Source organism: Homo sapiens, chromosome X, assembly GCF_000001405.40.
Source record: "Homo sapiens chromosome X, GRCh38.p14 Primary Assembly".
Taxonomy (NCBI): Eukaryota; Metazoa; Chordata; class Mammalia; order Primates; family Hominidae; genus Homo; species Homo sapiens.
In genome coordinates, this window is record NC_000023.11 from 103069406 (window position 1) to 103093715 (window position 24310).

A 24310-nucleotide genomic window follows, 5' to 3' on the forward strand; every position below is an offset into this window, starting at 1 on the left:
AGATAGTGATTCCTCTGATGGATTAAGGCAAAGTAAATTGACAATCTTCTGGAAGGGATTCATCATTCTAAATGCTATTAAGAACATTTCTGAATCATGGGAGGAGATCAAAATATCAACATTAACAGGAGTTTGGAAGAAGTTGATTCCAATTATCATGGATTACTTTGAAGGTTTCAAGATTTCAGTAGAGGAAGTCACTGCGGATATGGTGGAAATAGCAAGAGAACTAGAATTAGAAGTAGAGCCTGGGCCGGGCACAGTGGCTTACACCTGTAATCCCAGCACTTCGGGAGGCTGAGGCGGGCAGATCACGAGGTCAGGAGTTTGAGACCAGAATGACCAAGATGGTGAAACCAAGTCTCTACTAAAAATACAAAAATTAGCCAGGCATGGTGGCGCGTGCCTGTAATCCCAGCTATCCAGGAGGCTGAGGCAGGAGAATCACTTGAACCCGGGAGGTGGAGTTTTCAGTGAGCCAACATCGTGCCACTGCACTCCAGTCTGGGCGACAGAGCAAGACTCCATCTCAAAAAATATATATAGAGAGAGCCTCAAGATGTGAATAAATTGCTGCAATGTTATGATAAAACTTAAATGGATGAGGAGTTGTTTCTTATGGATGAGCAAAGAAAGTGGTTTCTCAAGATGGAATCTACTCCCGGTGAAGATGCTGTGAACAATGTTGAAATGACAACAAAGGATTTAAAATGTGCCGTAAACTTAGTTGATACAGCAATGGCAACGTTTGAGAAGATTGATTCCAATTTTGAAAGAAGTTCTACTGTGGGTAAATGCTATCAAACAGCATCACATGCTACAGAGAAATCTTTCACGTAAGGCAGAGTCAATCAATGGAGCAACAACTTCATTGTTGGCTGGACGTGGTGGCTCACACCTGTAATCCCAGCACTTTGGGGGGCCAAGGTGGGCGAATCACGAGATCAGGAGATTGAGACCACCCTGGCTAGTATGGTGAAACCCCGTCTCTTCTAAAAATACAAAAAAATTAGCCGGGCGTGGTGGTGGGCGCCTGTAGTCCCAGCTACTCGGGAGGCTGAGGCGGGAGAATGGTGTGAACCCAGGAGGCGGAACTTGAGTGAGCAGAGATCATGCCACTGCACTCCAGCCTGGGCAAGAGAGTGAGACACCATCTCAAAAAAAAAAAAAAAAAGCTTAATTGTTGTCTTTTTTTAAATGTAAGAGTCAGGGGTCTCACTAGGTTGACCAGGCTGGACTCAAACTCCTGCAGTCAAGGGATACTCTCTCCTCAGCCTCCCAGGTGTCTGGGACTACAGGCGTGTGCCACTGCACCCAGCCACTGCTGCCTTATTTTAACAGATTGCCACAGCCAACCCAATCCTCAGCAACCATCACCCTGATCAATAAGCAGTCGTTAACATTGAGGTAAGACCATTTATCCTTTCAGCAAAAAGATTATGACTCACTGAAGGCTTGGAGAATCATTAGCATTTTTTAGCAATAAAGTATTTTAAAAATTAGGCTATTTACATCTTTCTTTTTTCTTTTCTTTTCTTTTCTTTTTTTTTTTCTGAGATGGAGTCCGCTCTGTCCCCAGGCTGGAGTGCAGTGGCGTGATCTCGGCTCACTGCAAGCTCCACCTCCCGGGTTCATGCCATTCTCCTGCCTCAGCCTCCCAAGTAGCTGGGACTACAGGCACCCACCACCACGCCCGGCTAATTTTTTGTATTTTTAGTAGAGATGGGGTTTCACTGTGTTAGCCAGGATGGTCTTGATCTCTTGACCTCATGATTCGCCCGCCTCAGCCTCCCAAAGTGCTGGGATTACAGGCGTGAGCCACCACGCCCGGCCTACATTTTTCTAAACATAATGCTATTGCACACTTAATAGACTATAATGCAGTGTAAATATAACTTTTCGAAATAATTTCAAAGGTATTACAAGAAAACTATAGAACAGTACCCCTTATGGATACTGATGCAAATATCTTCAACAAAATACTTGCAAGCTAAATTCAACAGGATATTAAAAGGTTATACATGATGACCAAGTGGGATTTATTCCTGGAATACAAGTGTGCTTCAACATATAAAAATCAAGTCATGTAATGTACCACATTAACAGAATGAAGGGGGAAAATGCACATAATTATCTCAATTAAATTAGAAAAAGCATTTGACAAAACTTATACCCTTTCACAATTGAAAACACTCAATAAACTAGGAATAGAAGGAAATTATATTAACATAATAAAGGCCATATATGAAAAACCCATGAGTAAAATCATACTCAATGGTGAGAGACTGAAAGTTTTTCCTCTAAGATTGGAATAAGAAAATAATGCCCACTCATGCCACTTCTATTCAACACAGTACTGGAAGTCCTAGCCAGAACAATTAAGCAAGCAAAATAAGTAAAAGGCATTCAAGTTATACAAGAAATAAAATTAGTTAGTTCTGTTTGCAGTTGAAATAATTTTATATGTGGAAAATCCTAAAGACTCCACCAAAAAACTGTGAGAAGTAATAAATGAATTCAGCAATGTTGATGGATACAAAATCAATACACAAGACTGGATGTAGTGACTCATTCCTGTAATCCCAGCACTTTGGGAGGCTGAGGTGAGAGGATTGCTTGAGGCCATGAGTTTGAGACCAGCCTGGGCAATATAGCAAGACTCTGATCTACAAAAAAATTATTTTAAAAATTAGCCATCTGTGGTGGTGCATGCCTATAGTCCTAGCCACTCAGGAGGCTGAAACAGGAGGATTGCCTGAGTGCAGGAGTTCAAGGTTACAGTGAGCTATGATCACACCACCGCACTCCAGCGTGAGTGACAGAGTGAAACTCTGTCTTTTAAAAAAAATTATTTACATTTCTATACACTAACAGTGAGAAATCTGAAAGAATAATTAAAAAACAATCTCATTTAAAATACTTATGATTAAACTTAACCAAGGAAGCAAAAGACTTGTACACTAAAAACTATGAAATGTTACTGAAAGAAATTTAAGAAGACAAATAAATGCAAAGACATCCTCTGTTCATGGATTAGAAGACATTGTATTGTTAAAATATTAATACTACCCAAAGTGATCTATGGATTCAATGCAATCCCTATCAAAATCACAATGACGTTCTTGCAGAAATCAAAATCTATCCTAAAATTCATATGGAAACTCAAAGGACCTGATTAGCCAAAACAATCTTGAAAAAGAACAAAATTTGAAGTCTCCCACATCCTGATTTCAAAGCTTAATACAATGCTACAGTAATCAAAACAGTGGTACTGGCAGAATGGCAGACATGTAAACAAATAGAATTGGTAGTCTAAAAACAAATCCTGGCATAAATGGTCAAATGCTTTTCAAAGGGTGCAAAGACTGTCCAATGAGGAAAATACAGTCTTCAACAAATGTTGCTGGGGAAACTGGATATCCACACAGAAAAGAATGAAGTTATACCTTTACATTATACCATATACAAAAATTAACTCAAAATGGATGAAAGACCAAAATATAAGAGCTAAAAGCATGAAACTCTTAGCAGAAGACACAGGGACAAGCCTCATAATATTGGATTTCACAATGATTTCTTGGATATGACACTAGAAGAACAGGAAACAAAAGAAAATAACAGATAAATTGTACTACATCAAAATGAAAGACTTTTGTGCATCAGAGGATGTAGCAATGGAATGAAACGGGAAAATATTTTCAAATCATGTATCCGATAAGAGATTAATAGCTAGAAAATATAAAGAACTCCTACAACTCAGCAAAAACAACAACAGAAAACAACCCAATTCAAAAATGGGCAAAGGACTTAGACATTTCTCCAAAGAAGATATACAAGTAGCAATAAACACATGAAAGATTTTAAGTGTGTTTTGGATAAAGAGCCAAGAGTGTGGCTGGATACCTTTTGCTAAAGACATTTAATGTGTGATTAATAAATCCAATTAATCCTCTCAGCTGAATCGAGGAAAAATATACAGTATCCAGAAAGGATCTGTGGATAACCCTCTTGTCTGATGGCATGGATCCCTTTGACACACACAGGAGACCCACAAGGTTTTTTCAGAAGAACGTTATACCACTAAAAAGACTGCCACTTTGACCTGAAGAAAACAAAAAAAGGGAAAAATGAAAGAAAGCTATCAGACATCTAGGATTCTACAGGCAGTAAAAAGGATGATAGAGTTACTTGACCGTTAACATCTGACATCCTTTAAGATAAAGGAAGAATGACTCAGAGGGCAGAGCCATGGATACAGAGGAGGACGCCAGTAGAGCAGTGATGCCTTTGTGGCCCAGACAATAAAGCATCAAGCCACAGAGGGTAATTCTCAGGCCTTGAAACCCGGCCAGGTTTCTGTTTTTTGTTTTTTTGAGGCAGAATCTCACTCTGTCGCCCAGGCTGAAGTGCAGTGGTGTGATTTTGGCTCAGTGCAACCTCCACCTCCTGGGGTTCAAGCAATTCTCCTGCCTCAGCCTCCCGAGTAGCTGGGATTATAGGCGCCTGCCACCACGCCTGGCTGATTTTTGTATTTTTAGTAGAGATAGGGTTTCACCATGTTGGTCAGGCTGGTCTAAAATTCCAGACCTCAAGTGATCCACCTGCCTCGGCCTCCCAAAGTGCTGGGATTATAGGTTTGAGCCACCACGCCCAGCAAAACCCTGCTAGGTTTCAAACATGCTTGAATCAGTGACTGCTTTTATTATTTCATATTCTCCCCTTCAGAATGGGGATGTGTATTCTATACCTGTCCTGCCAATGAATTTTGGAAGCAGGTAGCTTGTTTTCTGGTTTTACAAGTCCACAGATGGAAAGGAATTTTGCCCCTACATGGTTCATAGATCAGATTTCACTCATAACCTGATTTAGATGGTGAGATTTGGGACTTTTTGAGTTGAGGGTATTTAGACAGGATATTTGACTTACAATTGATACCAGAATGCATTAACTTTTGGATATGGTGGGATGGGGTGAATGTATTTTTCACATTAGATGGATAGGAATTTTCAGGGGCCAGAGGGCACAATGTAGGAGGTTGAAGAATGGCCTCCAAAAGATATGTCCACCTGGAACTTCAGAATGGGACTTTATTTGGAATAAACGTCTTTGTGGATATTAATGTAGGGATCTAGATATGAAATTACCCTGGATTAGGGTGAACTATAAATCCAGTGAGTGACTTTGAAAGGGAAAGAAGACCCTGAAAGAAAGACAATGTGAAGATGGAGGCAGAGATATCAGTTATGCTGCCACAAGCTAAAAATCAGCAGCAACCAGAAGCTGGAAGAGGCAAGGAAGGATTCTCCACCAGAGCCTTTGGATGGAGCATGGCTCTACTGGCACCTTGATTTTGGATTTCTGGCCTCCAGAACTGTGAGAAAAGAAATCTGTGCAGTTTTAAACCACCTAGTTTGTGGTACTTTATTATGGCAGCTCTAGGAAACTACTACATCAATACAGACACAATTCCCCACATGCACATGTGCGTGCACACACACAATGTTATTTTTCTGAAAATAAGTTTTTAGCTTTTTCTTCTAAATTACCATCTTATCTCAACGACTGCAGTTATGTTTTTGTAGTTATTATGGTTGGATCGCTTTTCATAGATTTTGGGGGGCCATTGCAATTGCTTTTTATTTTTTATTTTTAAATTATTATTATTATTTTGGAGACAGGGTCTTGCTCTGTCACCCAGGCTGGAGTACAGTAGTGCAATCTCAGCTCAGTGCAACCTCCGTTTCCTGGGTTCAAGTGATTCTCCTGCCTCAGCCTCCCGAGTAGCTGGGACTACAGGCATGCATCATCATACCCGGCTAATTTTTGTAGTTTTCGTAGAGACAAGGTTTCACCATTTTGGTCAGGCTGGTCTCGAACACCTGACAAGTGATCCGCCTGCCTCAGCCTCCCAAAGTGCTGGGATTACAGGCTTGAGCCACCGTGCCCAGCCGCAATTGCTTTTTATAACGATTTGAGATTGATATCACTTTCCCTTCTCTCTACTGATTTCTCTATACATGAAGGCTATTAATCCTATGTCCATCATATATGTGGGCAATTTTTTCTTCCCAGGTTTTCGTGCATTCTTTAATGCTATTTTTCCCCAAATGCGTTGTTTTTAAATTTGAATAGATTCGTATGGCTAAGAAAGTAATAACGTTCTCTGCATAAAAAATATCTTACTTGATGCACTAGGGACATAGAACATTAGCCTCCAGGCTTAACAGGGTTAAAGAGCACTCTCCACCTTTGAAGCCACATGGCCCTCTGGAGTACAGCTCTATCCTAAGGGTGGGTCCAAGATTTGAGACTCGACTCTAGGATTTCCCAGGAATTACTCATTCTCTTTGAATATCCCTTTCCTTTTCCGTAGAACAGAGATAATAATGCCTGACTCAAATGGATTTTGCAGGGATTTGACATAACAAGACACCATACTTTATTGTGAAAAGGAACAGAGATCCTGGGGGTAACAGGGGTGGACAAGTGCACAGAACAACTGGCCCCTTTGGAAGGATGAGAGTCAGCCCTGTGAGTTGGGCTTCGGCTTCTTAGCCCCAGCCAGATCTCCTGGTTCAGTCACAGGGAAATACATCTATTGGAACAAAAATACAGGGAAGATGATGAGGCTGAAGATTATGACACTTAAGGATTTCCTCTTAGGGCTTTGTTTTCAGGATCCTAGGTCAGTCTGTGTGAGGGCCTTCTCTAGGATCTTGCCCTTGGCCGAGAGGAAGTGCAGGAGGGAGCTGGGAGATCAGCAGAACCGGAAGCCCAAGTTCAATCCCCAGGCCACCCAACCTCTGCTCACTTGGCCTGAATTCCTAGACCTCACCTTGGGCCATGCAAGAACATGAGGAGCTCTGACGTAGTCACACTGGTTGTTACGAAGGCAGCTGTGGTGGAGGAAGGACAGGTAACATCCATTAGGACCCAAGTGCAGACACTCTGACAATACAATGCCATTTCTTAATCTATGCAACAGAAACATGTCTGTGTTTTCTGGAATTTATTGCAGCAGAAGGAACCCTGTGAAAAGCCAAATGTCTACCAACAAAGGAACAGGATCCATGGAACTGTGAAAGGAAAATAAATCTTGGGGTCCCAAAATCACTAAGCTAAAGGTAAAAGTGAAGCTGGGAACTGGGTCATGCAAACCTGCCTCCCCTTTTGGTTCCTAAATAAGATGGCTATAAGATGAAAAGCTACACGCCTCCCCCATATTTTGTCCGCAAGGAAATTCCTCGTGAGCTGCAACATCTTTGCTGTAAGGTGTTTCTGTTAAAATTTCACCATGACAATGTAAATTGATAGCTTATCTTTACAGGTACAGTCACCCCCCCATCCACCAGACACAAATGCGTATCTGATTGTTCCCCCACCCCATTTTCTCTATGTCATCTTATATAAAAAAATGCAGATTCACTGAGCCAGCCAAAGGCATGAGTAACTATCTTTCCCTACCCTCCCCCTTACGTGAAAATTGTGTACTTCTCAATATCCTACCCTTTCCCCTTTAAATCTGGAGTCCTCAAAATCATCTTTGAAAGGCATAGACCTGTCTCCCGGGCACATGTCCTTAACTTTGGCAAATAAACCTCCTAAAATGATTGAGACTTGTCTCATCATTTTTCTCGATTGACAGAATTCAGAGAAGTACTGTACACCTGTTCAAAATAACTAGGTAGCTGAATATGTATCAAGAGGGAAATGTACAGTATGATACTGAGTGAAATAAAGAAGCAAAGCCAACTATCTGCAAGTTCCCATTATTCACTCCCCTGCTCCTCCCAGTGCATACCAATCACTAATCACCATACACACCCAGCACTCACTTCTTTTTTTTTTTTTTTTTTTTTTTCCGAGACGGAGTCTTGCTCTGTTGCCCAGGCTGGAGTGGAGTGGAGCAATCTCTGCTCACTGCGAGCTCCGCCTCCTGGGTTCACGCCATTCTCCTGCCTCAGGCTCCCAAGTAGCTGGGACTACAGGCGCCCGCCACCACGCCCAGCTAATTTTTTTTCTATTTTTAGTAGAGACGGGGTTTCACCGTGTTAGCCAGGATGGTCTCAATCTCCTGACCTCGTGATTCGCCCGCCTCGGCCTCCCAAAGTGCTGGGATTACAGGCGTGAGCCACCGCGCCCGGCCCAGCACTCACTTCTGAGGCAACTGGTAGTTCATCCCCCAGACTGGGCAGAGAAAACCTGTACCATTTTCTGCTGCTCCTGGGAGAAGGCAGGCACGGAGCTGGAGAAGGCTGTGGGCACTAGGGTGAACAAGGCACTCTGGGTCCCTTGGTGGCTGGTATCCCGCACAAAGAGCTTGTCATTCACGATGCACAGACTGGAGGAAAAATGGGCCATCAGGTAGCCGGAGAGAAGGACACCTCCCCACCCGCTACAAGGATCTTTTTCCTACTGTTCAGCAACCTGATTTCTTCGATACCTCTACTGTGCCTCCCTCCTAGCTTTTTGGCTGGTACCCTCTAAACCTTCCACAGAGCCCACCTTTGGAGAGATTACCTACATGCTTCACCAGTTTTGTAGGTTTACCTACAACCCAAGGATGGTTTTACACTCACATTTGCCCTTTACAATAGCCCAAGGGAGTGGACACTGTAATCACCAGTTTCAAAGGAAGATTCTGAATTACAAAGAGGTCACATGCCTTGACCAAAGTCACAGTGAGTATTGCATCAGGAAAGAACTCATACTCTGACTCCAGAGCCCACACATTTTAAAAATTTTTTTCAATACAGGGTCTCACTCAGGCTGGAGTGCAGTGATGTGATCTAGGCTCACTGCAGCCTCAACCTCCTGGGCTCAAGATCCTTCCACCTCAACTTCCTGAATGGCAGGATGATAGATGCACACCACCACACCCAGCTAATTTTTAGTTTTTTTGTAGAGACAGGGTCTCACTGTGTTGCCTAGGCTGGTCTCAAACTCTCGGGCTCAAGCAATCCTTCCACATTCAGCTTCCTAAAATACTGGGATTACAGGCGTGAGCCACTGCTCCTGGCCCATACTCTTAACTATTAGACTAGACTGTCGGTTTTTTACAACATTGAGAACACCCCGAGGACTGCACCACCACATTCCCACACCACTGGCCCCAGGTTGGGATGGGTGCTCCCACCCACAACACAGCACTAACCTGGAACTGCTGCCAGGGGTAGCAATGAAGGTCCGGGTGAAGGCGAGAACAGAACCCTGAGACTGTCCTTCCACTTCAAAGACAACAAACAACATTGCCTTAGAGTTGCACAGGCTTTACGTGCTCACATGGTGATCCCCAATCAGAGTCTTGCTTGACACTCACACAGAAGGGGGCCAGACCAGGACAGTTGTTCACTTGGAGTGAGGCGGATGTGGTAGGAATGGGGAGGGCAACAACAGGAATAATCCGCTCCCAGTGATAGGGCCCCTATCATGTGTGGGGCCCTGTGAAAACCACAAGTTCACTTAATTCCTATTTCACAGTAGCCCAAGAGATGGGTTATTATTAGCCCCATTCTGCAAATGAGGAAACTGAAGGGTTAAGTAACTAGCACAAGTTCAGAGTAAAGACCTGGGATGAGAGCTGTCAGACTCCACAGTCTGTGTGCTTAACGCACGCCTGAGCTGTGCAGGGCAGACAGGCATGGGCCTAGGTCAGATCAGGGTGGTTTGTGGGCAGAGTTGGGGTGGGAAAACACGGAGGGAACAAGAGGAAGGAAAGGAACGAAATGAGGGAAGCTGGGGGAGTTCTGAGATGGAGCCCAGCCAGGGGGAGGGAGGAGTGGGGGATCTGGGGAAGGGACTCTACAGACACTCACCTTCCTTGAACACCCCGTTGACAGAAAAGCAGAGCATCCATTCCTGAAAGGGAAGATCTCAGGTGCTCAGGATCCCCCTTAACCTCCTACCCACCTCTGGCTTTCTGGGCCTGCCCAAGGGAGGAAGCAGGTACTCACCGTCTGGTACCACATGTCCACCAGGAAGGAGCTGAGGTCATGCTGAGTTTTAGGCAACGCACTGAGGGAGTCCACAATATCAAGTTTTGTGTGCTTCAGCAGCTCCCCCCGAAGGTCTGTAGAGGAGAAGAGAAGCAAGGATTTGGGGGGCTGCCACACCCCAGTTGTGTGATTGTTCCTGTCACACCCCCTTACCCTGCCCAGACTTCTCCATCACACACTTACAGGGGTCCTTGAGAATTTTTATATTCCTGCTATCCTTGAAGAACTTGCAGAAGCTGCTCCTAGAAGAAAAAGAGGAGCAGGAGTGGGTGGTCTGGCCAGTGCAGGCATCTCCAGGAGCTGGTGTCTTTCTGCAGGGGAGTCACATGGCCCTGGACCAGGGTCGGAGCTGTGATACTCACGGGGCTGAGTCCTCAGGATTGAAGGGAATGCTCAGGGAGAAGCAGGCCTCATCGTGGTAAGCACTAAGGAGACCCTGTCGATCTCCAGAGTCATAGATCAAGTAATACCTGTTGGAGACCAGTGAGGACAGGCTATCTCTGTGGCCTGGGTGCCAAATGAGTCTTGAAAGTCTGACTGTAGGCAGACTTGTACTTGGGTAAATTCATCTGACCTAGCCTTCTCTTGCCTCAGATTCCCAGGGATACTTACTGCTGCAGGAATTGCAGGACCAGATTCTTCAACATCTCAGATCCAAAGAAGCTTCCCTGGAATAAAGAGTCCCCAGGACCACAGATGGTACCCCCCCTTCCTCATGCACCACCCTGCTGGATCCTCTCTTCTCACCTTACAGGTTGGTAACCTCTTGTGGGCTTCAGTACCACATAAAGTTGCTCTGGGTGACTGCTGGCCATCCTGGGGAAGGCAAGAGGAAGTCAGTAGTGCAAAGTAGGGAGGTGGCACAGAAAATTACGGAAAAGGATAGACCCAGGAGAGGGTGAGATCAGAAATCAGGTGTGAAAGCGTTCTGGAAATTACGTGGGCAAGACTACAGTCGGGATTGCCGCCACCTGAAGCCTGTTGTGAACCTGTGTGAAGAAGCTCCACAGGCTCTGCCAAGTTCCCACATGGGTCCGTATTCCCTTCCCCCACTCCCTTGAGGTTTAAGGGTTAGCTCCAAAAATGTAACTGGGACAATATCTAAAGGGGTTTGGGGCAGTTGGGGGCAGCATCAGTCCCAATTAGGAAAGTCAATGATCAAGGAATACACTTACCAGGCATAATAATTTGGGGAACAATTCCAGGATGGAGCTGCCGAAAATCAAAACAAAATGGACAACGGTAAGTGAAACTGTGGAGCTGTCCTCCTCATGGGAGCAATCACACCTACGTCAGAGACACAGTGCAGTGTGTCCACCTACACTCCGAAGTTCCTGCCTCTGCAGCCCTGGGCAGCATTGGGAGCCCAGGCTTCAGGACTTTCTTCCCCTCCCTCCATCCCTCTCTCACCTTTGTCCAAGTCCCCACTGAAGGCTCTGCAGGGAGTAGGAAATGGGGTGGGAGCCCAGGGCTCTGCTACCTCACTGGATGTCCGTCAGTCTGCCTGTCCTGGCCCTGGCCAAGACCAGGTCAGCTCTTAGGGATGGCCCAGGATGCTGGGACAGGGAGGTGAGTGACGCAGGCTCAGGAGGCAGAAGGGGAAGGCAGGGGAATGATGGCAGAAACGGGGTGAAGGTAGGGGAGGGAGAGACAGGTGAGACATATGAGAGGAGAGACAATGGAGAAACAGGATGCAAAGCAAAGGGAAGGGAAAGATGCTCTACCGTGGTGGTGGAGTTCAGGGAGGAAGAGAGAAGAAAAGGGCTCCCCTGCTGCAGCCCTTTCCCTCACTGGCCCCAGCTGGCCCTGGGGACCGAGGCAAGAAAGGAAAACATGCGCCTGTTGGGCTGGGGCCCACTGGATGCAGCTGGAGCCTTTCTCACCTGTGTGAGCTCAGTCTGAGCTGGGCATGGGAAACAGAGCAGCCACGGGGACAGGAGACCTTCTCCCGGGAGAAGTGAAGGGTCAAGCCCCAGCTCAGCATGGGGTTCAGAGTCTGGGGACCCCCTCTCCCGACCACTGCATTCTCTTCTGATGGTCCCAGACTCCTGTGCCCCTCTGTGCTGATGCCTTGACCGAGGAATGCTACCCATCTCGGGCTACCCAGGGCTCCTCTGAGGACCCAGGCAGGATGATGTGAGGTGGAGAAGGAGGGAAGGAGGGGCAGTGCCCTGAGAGGCCTGTCCTTCTGTCTCCTCAACCTCCTCTGCCCTCTGCCTTCCACTCCTGCCTCAGGAATGTGGCCCGCTTCTGGTCCCTTGACTCAGGAAACCCAGGTTTCTCCCCAAGGAGGGCCCAGCTCCTAGCATTGGCCAGAGGAAGAGATGGCATGACAGCAGCCACCCAGGGCCTCGGCCCTCAGTATGGGGCAGGGAAGCCCCCATGCCAGCCTGGGACAGGAGAGGGGACCTTTTTGGAGCAAGAGAAGGAGAACCCCTCTCGGGACGGAGGAGGGAAGCCCCATATCAGCATGGAGGCAGGAAGGCCTGTCTCAGCATGAGGCCCTGGACTAAAGGACTCTTCTCGGTCCAGGGCACCAGCACCTGAATACTGCTGGTCCTGGGGAAGTGGGGGAGCCCCGCTTCCTGGAGCACACTCACAGAGGGCACGCTAGAGGAGGCTGGGTGGAGACAGGTGGGAAACACATCCCAGAGCGGGTGAAAAGGGGACCATGTCAGAGGAAGGAAAGGAGATGTCTAAGCACAGATGAATGAGTGACACAGAGAGAGGAGTGGGGCGAGGGGGAAGGAGAGGGTCTGTGGTCCTCCCAGAAGACTAGTGCTGCCTCCTCCTGCAGAAGGGCGCTATCAAACACAGGTCAGGGTCCCAGGTGGTGACAGAGGGTACAACTGACTTTATGTTGCTGGAGGTATCCGAGAAGGTCGTGCACACTGGGCTTCTGTCCGCACACTTCTCTCCTGGCTCTATCCCTTTCCACTTGTCCATCTCCCCTGCAGACATCACCTGCAATTATGCAGAAGAACCACGTAGACCCAGGAAAGAGCAGCTGGAGGGCCCTGCACCCTCAGTCTCCTCCCTTGCCAACAAATCCACTTCCTTGCCTCTTGTCACTACCCTAATGAACCCTCCTCCCCCTTTTTCTTCAAAGAACTATCTGAGTATTACACCTCATTTTATTTTTCAAGAAATTCAGCTTGTTAATGTTGGGGGCCTTTGGCATAATGTCAAGCATCTGGTAGGCTTTGTTGCTGTTTGGGTTCAAGGGCAAAAGCTATGGGGAGGAATGAATTAAGAACTAAGAGTGAAGGCCCCCAACAGGGGATATCTTAGACCAATTAGCCTCCTAGCTAATCTCTTCCACCTTCACCCTCAATCCCAGCATGAGCCTAAGGCCTCACTGTAGGTATGTTCTCTTCATGGACGTCCAGGGAGGCAGCCATGCACTTTCTAGGATTCGATGCCATCTTAGTATCACGGTTCACCATGTCTCCAGAAAGCAGAGAGGAGAAAATCAGAAGTCTGAGAGGGACCCGCCTGGTACAGCATCAGCACTAACCCCTCCCCAAGTTGCCAACCGTAAGTCTCCATCTCACACAGACACCTCTGCCCTCATCTACCATAGAATTACTTTCTCAGCCATACCTGGGTAAAATGGGAGTCTCTGGATATCAAGAGCTTCCTGGGAGACATCACACTGTTGGTTCATGGCCAGCTGCAGAGTTAGAGATGGGTTTCAGAGGCTCTGAAGTTGAGGTGGTGAAGGGGGCAATAGGTGGGGAAGAAGCAGTGGGTCTGGCTTTGTGTGAACAACTTGCCATGAGTCTGTGTTACCTTTATCTGCTCCACCTTTTCTGACTTCAGCTCCCTGTGCACAAAGTGGGGTATGCCAGCAGGGTTGACAAAGATTGATATCTGCAGAGAACCCAAGAGGGGCTGAGTAAACACTAGGAACTCTGACCCCCAAGATCAAGCAAGACCTTACCCTTGCCCTGCCCTCTTGCTCGATGCTAGCCCTGGTCATTCATTTGACACACACCTTTTCATTATCCTCATCCCAAATCTTGCCACTGACATTCTTCAGTGCATAGGCGATGCTGGCATTCTCCACAAAGAAGCTGGCATGCATGTTTTCATAGTGAAACTATAGGGAGAGTTGCAAGAGAAATGAAATATGAGGCCAGAGTCTCTGCTCATCCAGCCCCCAACCTGTCCTGTTTTCTCTCGTCTGCCTCACGGTCCTTTCTTACCTCAACTGGGACGAAGGGTACACTGCATTCATTCTGAATCAAATTCAGCAGCCACTTCTCATTGTATTTTATGCCAAAGGGAACCTATGAGTGAAAGAAAGAATGAGTGAGGAAAGGAGACTGACATAATGGAATTAAACGTTAAAAGTGGACCCAAATATGTTCCTTTCAGACTTTAAAATAGTTTAAGATAGGACAACATCCATTATTGCTAACTTATGTATTTCATTATTATTTCTTTCATTATTTCTAATATCTATTATTTCTAACCAAACATGGATTTCCTAAATACCCTTTCTTACTATTCAAATAGTTTTCTTAAAATAATCAATTTAAGATGTTTAATATGAGCTTTCTTTTATAAAGTCCCACAAGAGCCTACCTAAGGCAGACCAGGCCTGCCCCTTTGACAAGGACCCCACTAATTCAACCCCTCACACACTTAGTTTGAGCTAAACTGAAGCATCTGGTGTGGAGATACTCTATCTCCTTAGCATTCGTTTCCTCCTTTGATTGTAAACGACCTCTTCCGCTCTCTCTGCAGTCAGTCTGTTCCCCTTACATTGCTTCTCTGAATTTACTCTTAAGATGATCTAGGATGTTAACTCCTAGTAATAAAGGACAGATTACATACTTTCCTGCCCTTACAAAAGTATCTAGTGTCCACACAAATCCAACACAATTCCCCCTGTTCTCCTTCTGAACATTAGATCCACTTTGCCAGGACACTCACTGTGATCTTGAACCAGCTCCCTAAGGTCCCATCCGGCATGTTCCCCTCCATTCTTCTCTCTGGAGGTTTTTGCTCTCTCTCCATGTTAACGTGGGTTTGGTCTTGTTTACGAAAACTGCCTTTCCGATTATAGGGTGAAATAGTATAGGGAGTGCTGTGAGCAAGTGGAGAAAAGGTAGTTCACATATGCTCCGAAAGTATTTTATACACATTTGATCCACTGATACCAGGGCTACAATGAAGTTAAATCAACCATTAATCGAGTTCTGTCATTCCTCTCTCTGTCAAGTTGGAAAGAATGACATATTCAGCTACAGAGTTATGTATTTCACTGGCTGGTACATTCCAGCCATGCTGACTACTGGTCACTTACTATCTTACTGGAGAGTCCATGTGGGCACCATGCATTGCTGCATCTCCATCTTGCTGCTGATGGGATGAAGAATGCATGCCAGGATTGACAGGTTCAGACCTACTGCTAAATCTCCTTTGGTAAATATCCCAACATCTTGCTCTTCTTTGAACAACTTGATCAGTGTGACCTTAAATTAAGAACAGCACATCAACACTTAGAATACCAGAAAAAAATCTTGGGAAAATATAATGGATAATGAAAAAATTCACTGATATTTATTTATTTAGAGTCAGGATCTGGCTCTACTGCCCAGACTGTAGTGCAGTGGCATGATCACCACTCACTGTGGCCTTGTCCTCTATGGCTTAAGAAATCCTCCCACCTCAGCCTCCCAAGTAGCTGGGACTACAGGCATGTGCCACCACATCTGGCTAATTTTTTTTTTTTAGAGATGGGGTCTCTCTGTGTTGCCCAGGCTGGTGATTTTTATAATCTAGAAAGAAATATATCACAGTGCCAAAAAAAGTTGAAAGACTTCACTGTGGTTTCACCTCCTGGGAGATGAGTGTTGGGGAACATTAACAGCCAAGGAGAAAATAAGCACAGCAGAAAGGGTTTGGGTTTAGGTGATACTAATCTATGATGATAGTCCTTGCTCTGCCCTTTTCAGGCTGGGTAACATGGAACAAATTGCTTATCATCTGTAACCCTAAATTCCCACCTCTAATTGGAGAATAATAAAATCTACCCTAAAAGTTTGCTATTATGGCTCAAGGGTCAAAGGCAAGTTCCCTGCCTCAAAGAAGAATCAGATAAATGAAAACATTGCTGAAGAAAATATCCAGAATGAATCTTGGAGAGACATAATTATGGAATTAATTACCAAAAGAGTGAAAGAGAGAATTTAAAAAGATGTGGTAAGCGCAGCCGGGCGCGTTGGCTCTTGCCTGTAATCCCAGCACTTTGGGAAGCCGAGGTAGGTGTATCACGAGGTCAGGAGATGGAGACCATGCTGGCTAACATGATGAAACACCCTCTCTACTAAAAATACAAAAAATTAGCCGGGCGTGATGGCGGGCGCCTGTAGTCCCAGCTACTCGGGAGGCTGAGGCAGGAGAGTGGCGTGAGCCCAGGAGGCAGAGCTTGCAGTGAGCCAAGATCACACCACTGCACTCCAGCCTGGGCGACAAAGCGAGACTCTGTCAAAAAAAAAAAAAAAAAAAAAAAGAAAGAAAGAAAGAAAGATTTGGTAAGCATATCTAACACTACTTCTCCACTGTTCCCTCTCCTTATTTCTGGGACTCAAATTCCAGACCTCCAGGCCAGGCTGGTCTCAAATTCCAGACCTCAAGTGATCCGCCCACCTTGGCCTCTCAAACTGCTGGGATTACAGGTGTCGGCCACCGTGCCCGGCCTCTACAAAATTATTTTTTAAAAAATTAGCTGGCTGGCGGTGGCTCACGCCTGTAATCCCAGCACTTTGGGAGGCCGAGATGGGCGGATCATGAGGTCAGGAGATCGAGACCATCCTGGCTAACACCATCTCTACTAAAAATACAAAAAAATTAGCCGGGGGTGGTGGCGGGCGCCTGTGGTCCCAGCTACTCAGGAGGCTGAGGCAGGAGAATGGCGTGGACCCGGGAAGCAGAGCTTGTAGTGAGCCGAAATCCCGCCACTGCACTCCAGTGCAGAACTAATTTACACTGGATTGTGATAGGGCAAAGATATATATTGTAATCCTAAGGATAAACACTACAACAATGGCAGGAAGTTTCACTTTCTAGCCAAATGAGATAAAAATTTAATAGTTAAAACTATTAATCATTTCAAAGGAGAGGTGTGGAAAAAGAACTTAAAACAGGCAAAAATAAATATATAGTAATACGGTCTATTTAAACCAAATCATACCTATATTTTCATTAAAAGAAATTAAACTTAAGTATTCTAAATTAAAAGGCACAGAGTATCACACTAGATAAAAAATTCCATCAAATTATCCTGAAAAAAAAACATGTAAAATTTAATAATACAGAATATTTGAAAATAAGAAAAATGGCACGATTCATACCATTTACACACTGACTGACTGAAAGCTTATGTAACCATATTAATAAGAGAAAATATATACTTTAAGAAATACTAGAGAAAAGAACTCATAATGATAAAGGTTCACATCAACAAGAAGATATTAAGAAAGCAGGTGCGCGCACTGCCTTCATGGCACCTGGGCCTGAGGTGGGTGGCTCCTGGGCCCTCGCCAGCTCCAGGTGTGTGAGGTAGACTTCAGAAACCCGATTGAGAAGTGGAGAGACTCCCAGGGAGGGTCAGACCTGCCTCAATTCCGCTAAGGTCTTTCATTTCTTGTTCGCCTACTTTCGTGAAATCCTCACATCGTTTTAATGGTACTAGTCAAGACAAGAAAATCAACAGGCTTTCAGCCTTGAGGCAACACTGGTGTAGGAACGCTATGGAGCTCATCAGACTACATCACTGAAGAATATGATGCCTGAAAACTATTTAAAAATGCTAAAGATTCAACAGTGTGTGGTAGCCAACAAAGTACCTAGAAACAGGCCATATATTTGCAATATTTGCTTCAAGCACTTTGAAACACCATCAAAATTAGCTAGGCACTATCTCATTCATACTGGTCAAAAGCCATTTGAATGTGATGTGTGTCATAAAACCTTTAGACAACTAGTTCATCTGGAGAGGCATCAGCTAACTCATAATCTGCCTTTTAAATGTAGTGTTTGTCAGCGCCACTTAAAAAATCTGAAGACATTTGTGAAGCACCAACAACTTCACAATGAAACCTATCAGAATAATGTTAAACAGGTCAGAAGACTGCTGGAGGCCAAACAAGAAAAGTCAACATATGGAGTGTATAATACTTTTACCAGAGGAAAGATGGGCATTACACCCGTGCTCTAAGTCCGATCCCACATATAGCATGAAGAGAAGAAAGAATATTCATGCATATACAATCTGTGGCAAGATGTTTCCATCACAGTCAAAACTGGATAGGCATGTACTTATTCATACTGGTCAGAGGCCTTTTAAATGTCTCTCGTGTAGTAAATCTTTTTGACAGTCACCTCACTTAAAAATCCACCAACTTACACATTCAGAAGACCTTTTCAATGTTGTTTTTGTCAAAAAGGTTTTAAGATTCAAAGCAAACTTCTGAAGCATAAACAAATCCATACTAGGAATAAGGCTTTTTGAGCTCTTTTATTAAAGAAGAGGCATACAGAATATTGCCCCCTGCCTAATAAGTTAAATGCAAATCAGGGTGGTTTTGAAAATGGTGATATTGGTGAATCTGAGTAGAATAATCCACTTTATGTCCACTCAATTTATATTGTCCCTTTTCAATATCCAAAGTGTGAAAATGTTTTGAATCACAGCAGATTCTCAATGAACACATGTGTTTTCCTGCTAGAGGTGGCAAAATTCCAAGCAGGTTCAAAAGAAGCTACAACTATAAAACCATTGTTAAAAAAAATATTGGCCAAGCTTAAACGTGCTAGGAGTAAAAAATTAGATAACTTTTGATCCTAGAAAAAAGTATTTAAAAAGAGATTCTTGAAAAATTGTGATCGTATTTCTGGTGAGCCGTGCTCTGAACAAACCCAAAGAACATTTGTGGGTTCTCTTGGCAAACATGGAACATATAAAACAATTGGCAATAAAAAAAAACATTGACTTTGCGATTTTCTTGGCAAAAGCAGTTCCAGAACCAAAATGTGGGAAAAAAATGAAAGGTATCCTTACTACAGCAAACTTATTAAGCATTGATAATTCAGTGAATAAGAAAGACTTGTCAATCTGTGGCTCATCAGGTGAGGAATTATTTAATAACTGTGAGGTACTTCAGTGTGGTTTTTCAGTTCCAAGGGAAAACATACGTACTAGACATAAGATATGTCTCTGTGACAAATGTGAGAAGGTATTTCCTTCTGTATCCAAACTAAAAAGACACTATTTAGTTCATACTGGACAGAGGCCTTTTTGCTGTTAATATTTGTAGGAAATCTTTTAGACAGTCAGCTCACTTAAAAAGACATGAACAGATTCATAATGAAAAGAGTCCTTATGCATCCCTTTGCCAAGTAGAATTTGGAAACTTGAACAATCTTTCTAATCATCCACGTAATAATGTTAACTATAATGATTCCCAACAATGTCAGGCTCCTGGTGTTCAAAAATACGAGGTCTCAGAGTCAGATCAAATGTCAGGAGTTAAGGCAGACTCACAGGATTTTATTCCTGGTAGCACCAGGCAGCCCTGTCTTCCTAATGTACTTTTGGAATCAGAGCAAAGCCATCCTTTTTGCAGTTATTCAGAACATCAGGAGAAAAATGATGTCTTCCTGTACCGACGCAGTGTTTGTGCTAGGAGTTTCTGATCTCCATCTATACTGGAAAAACACTAACTAATTCATGCAGGGCAGAAACTATTTGAATGCTCAGTTTGTGGCAAAACATTCCGACAGGCTCCTCACTGGAAGAGACATCAACTTACTCAATTTAAAGAACGACCACAAGAGAAACTGGTTGCCTTGGATTCGGTTATGTAAACTGTCACAACCACTAACAATTGTGGTCTCTGGTGATCTTATTTTTAAAGCCTGTATTATTTAAAATGCGTTTTTATCAAGAGGCCTGCATTAAATTGAATGGTTTCACAGGCATTTGTTTGTCCTGCATAGTAAGGAGGTAAAATACATAGAAAATTAATACAATGTTTTAGAAACAGCCAAATTAATTTTTAGAGGCAAGAACATGATTTGATGCTATAAAGTAGGCATTTTAATATTGTAAACATATGCTGTGTCTGTATTGAAAAATATAAATTCATGATGCTGTATAAATAATTTAGTCTCATTCATTTTTAAAGGAATTATTCCTTAAGACATGCCATCTCTTTTTATATATACTCAAAAGACCGAGAGGCAAAAATTGGTTTTTAGCTGCAGCACATATCCCTGCTATATTTCATTTATCTTACATTTCATATGAAAGCATAATTTTGTCCACATGTGGCTCAAATTGCATTGGAAATTTTTTGTAAATTTAAAGAACTACAGAGGCACTAAAGGTGAAAATGGATGAGAAAATTATAGTATTTTTTCATTGGTCTTTTCAAAGCTATTTATTTTTAGGACTATGTGGTAATTTCACTTCTTCAGGTGATTAAGGTTTTTTTTTTCTTTTTTTTTTCCCAGCGAGTGACATCTTTCTCAAAATAATTTAAAAGTAGGCAAGAGGCTAGGATGTATCCATATACATTTACCATGTTTATTTACCAGGAATATTTTCCAAGTGCCATAGTCTTTTTCATAATATGTATGCAGTTTTATCTTTTCAGAGGAATAATTTCAAGTCATTCATTTGCTCATTAATTATAGCAGTAGTCATAGATTTAAGACTCTATTCTAGAGATCTTCATCTCCATAAGACTTTAACATTTATTTTAGTAAACTTTTCTTTTTATGCCTCTTTAATGGAGTGGTCCTATTATTTAAGCCTGTTCTAAGTTTGATCAAATGGCAATGACTAGGTCTAGTTTTAGTTTTTATTTTTGCAAGAGTCTAATGCTAAATAATTTTATTTTGATCCTTGTTAAATTTTTATTTTGATTAGTAAGGTAGTCATTCCTGTAGAGGGATAAGATGCTTGTAGAGTTGTGGGTATCATTCCAAATAGAACTGTTATGATTTGGGAAATATTCTAAACTACAAAGGACTTATTTCATAATGACAAATTGTCCTTCACCTTTGCCTTTGTTTATAAAATCTTCAGGAATGACATTTTCTAGCAATAAAAGGAATTAACCATTATGTTTCTAAGCTGAAAAGAGGAACAGGTGGGTAATTATCCTACCATACTTAAATATAGTGGAAAATCCTCTATTGAGAATGTGGATAAAAGAACAATTGTAAATTTTGCATCATAATCTGAGAACTCCCTTTTGGGGCAGGGGGAGGCGGGAGGGATAGAAGGTGGGGGTGATCTGCTTGCTTCTTTTACCACAGGTGATTTTTAAGTAACTTGGGTTTAATTTACAGAGATGAAACATGGCAGTCTGAGTAAAACACCCAATGATGTAGAAGTGTGCCTGTTTATTACGTAGAGACAGCCAACAAAAACAGAGGAGAATCACATGCTTTAAAAAACACTTTCTCTTAGGTTTCCTTGGGATATGTTCTTCCAGTGCAGGCAAGATAGTGGTTTACAGAATTTGCTTAATACAAAACTTTTCAAGAACTCATCTGTTACACAAAAGCAAGGAATAGCTAGTTTATATTTTCCAATAATGTTCAAGGTTTTCTCCTTATTATGTCTGAAATTATTGATTTTGGCATTTTTCTAAGCAATTTATGTAATTTTATTTGAAGGAAATGTTTTATATACTCTTTTTCCCGACCTAAACAGGGAGAGTCCTAACAGTGTTGTGTTTGTATGATTATGAGGCTTTATTTGCCTAAGTGATGCTACTATACTTTTTTTTTGACCCATGCCTTTTTAAGCTGTTTCATATTGAAAGTTGGAATATTGTAAAAATTTTGTCAAAGATGTACTGAAGTGCTATTTGAAGTACCTATAACAAAACACAGTTGGTCCTCCGTATCCACGGACTCTGCCTCTGTGAATTAAACCAATTGCAGATCAAAAATAATAGGAGAGAAAAATATAAAAATAATACAAATAAAAAATACAATATAACTGTTATTTAAATAGCATTTACATTCCATTAGGTATTAGTCTAGAGATAAAGTATGCAGGAGGATGTGCGCTGGTTATATGCAAGTATGCCACTTTATGTAAGGGACTTGAGTATACTTGGATTTTTGGTATCTGTGGGTGGGCAGGGTAGGGGGGGTCCTGGAACCAATACCCCATGGATACCAAGGGACAACTGTACTTATTTACCTTTATTATTATTGCAAGCTTCTTAAGGAAACTTTATAGGAATGAAAATACACATGTTAAGAAGATTAGGCCAGGCGCGGTGGCTCATGCCTGTAATCCCAGCACTTTGGGAGGCCGAGACAGGTGGATCACGAGGTCAGGAGATCGAGACCATCCTGGCTAACACCGTGAAACCCCGTCTCTACTAAAAATACAAAAAATTAGCCAGGCATGGTGGCGGATGCCTGTAGTCCCAGCTACTCGGGAGGCTGAGGCAGAAGAATGGCGTGAACCCGGGAGGCAGAGCTCGCAGTGAGCCGAGATTGTGCCACTGCACTCCAGCCTGGGCGACACAGCAAGACTCCATCACAAAAAAAAAAAAAAAAAAAAAGAAGAAGATTAAACATTAGATATTAGATGGTCTGTTGCATGCTAGAACTGTTAGTATTGTTGGATCAATTACTTTGGTTTTATGAAAAAATTAATGATAAATATCTTTAAAGAGAACTAGAAGAATTTTTTGTTTGATTCTAGGCTGTAACATGATTATTTACGGACATAGTTTGATTGGCTGGCTAACTTAGTAGAATTAATTGGCTGGCTAACTTAGTAGAATTATTGTTTTTTTTTGTACTGCAATAGGGCTTATAATTGTAAGATAAAAATGTGTGTGTGCTTAAGGGAAGTAAGTGCTGGTTAAAATTATTGAAAAAATTTCAGAATACTTTAAAAATAAAGTTTCAAGTTATACAAAAAAAAAGAAATTCTAAATTTGTATGCATGTCTTAACATGGACCAATCTATGTTTAGATACAAAGCAAAAACTGATCTAAGTAAATAGAGAAATAGTTAAAACCACTGTGATGTGGGAATTTAACACACCTCTCTGAGTAACAGATAAAACTAGCAGACAAAAATTCAGCTACATATAGAAGATTTAAATGGCATGAGTAATAAGTTTGCTTAAATGACATAGAACACTGCACAGAAAACCTTCACATGGAACATTCCAGAATAAGTCATATGCTGGGCCATAAGGCTAGCCTTGATAAATTTCTGGGGCTGGGGTGGGAGGTAATACAATCTACCTTGAATGGTTAGTGTGAAGATTAAAGATGTATTCCCTGCCCCACTACCACCTCTAGTGTACATCCAAGGAATGTTAATTTTTACCAACCCCTGCCTCAGGTGACCCTCCTCATACCTCAAACCCTGGCCCTGAGAAGGCCACAAGACTCAGGCCTGGGCCCTTGCCACTGCCCACCCCCATCTAAAGGGAGATTGGCTGGGTGTTATGTGGGTTAGGGTAAGGTGGGGAAGGGGGCTCAGTCCCTTTTGCCCTGTGAGACCTGAGACTCCAGCCTCATGCTGGCCAACTCACCCGTAGTGTGTCCTGAAGGCAGTGACATTTTACCAATGTCCTTATAGGGCTCTCTTGAGGAGAATCTGTGTGGCCTGGGGACGGGAGTTTGGAGAAGATTGAGGAGGGCTGCTGACGAAGGCGAGAGCAAGCCTCAAGCCTTGCTTACAGGAAGTTCCTTCCCCAAGCATAGAGAGGAGTGTCCTAGGAGTCACAGAATTAACTTCCTGTTCTTACCACTCCCCAAAGTTTGCTGCCAGCCTAACACCCAGGGAGATGTTTCTAATGTAGCCACTCCTGCAAAGGTGGTTAGCAACAATCACAATCATGAGGCCTAGGACCCAGATACTTATTGAAACAAACACGGAAAACTCAGCTTGCTGGTCATCTCCAGTGCATTACATTGTATTCATTTACTCTGCAGACTCAGAGACTCAGAGACTCAGAGTGCCTATGGTAGCTCAAGCTCTGTACTTGCTACATTACTTTTTTCTCCATGTATTCCTCACAAGGGGACTCTCAACTCAGAATCACCAGCTTCCTGAAGGTGCTGAGGCTTAATGAGGTATAGGACCTTGTCTGGAATGATTCAGATGTGACCTGGAGAAACAAAGTGGAAATGAGAACCATGGAATAGTGGGTGACCCCTCTATGCACAGCTTTTCTAAACTCTTATAATATTTGGGGTTTACTTAAGTTAGGGCAAAGTAAGACAATGTTCTGCAAATACTCGTGTGACTG

General features: G+C 43.2%; 1 protein-coding gene and 1 pseudogene across 1 annotated transcript; one reads left to right on the forward strand and one right to left on the reverse strand.

The window, feature by feature from the left end:
- On the reverse strand, nucleotides 6405-23738 carry NXF3 (nuclear RNA export factor 3). The gene is made up of 20 exons (NM_022052.2): nucleotides 23591-23738; nucleotides 15310-15478; nucleotides 14937-15090; nucleotides 14204-14287; nucleotides 13993-14097; nucleotides 13788-13868; nucleotides 13599-13668; nucleotides 13355-13443; nucleotides 12850-12959; nucleotides 11171-11207; nucleotides 10743-10811; nucleotides 10608-10663; nucleotides 10358-10465; nucleotides 10179-10237; nucleotides 9954-10069; nucleotides 9816-9858; nucleotides 9155-9227; nucleotides 8209-8341; nucleotides 6836-6896; nucleotides 6405-6595 (listed from the first exon to the last, which is right to left on the reverse strand). Exons 1-19 carry the CDS (start codon nucleotides 23616-23618, stop codon nucleotides 6885-6887), a joined length of 1596 nt encoding a protein of 531 aa, NP_071335.1. The 5' UTR covers nucleotides 23619-23738; the 3' UTR covers nucleotides 6405-6595; nucleotides 6836-6884.
- LOC100128601 (zinc finger protein 770 pseudogene) lies at nucleotides 17591-20066 on the forward strand (annotated as a pseudogene).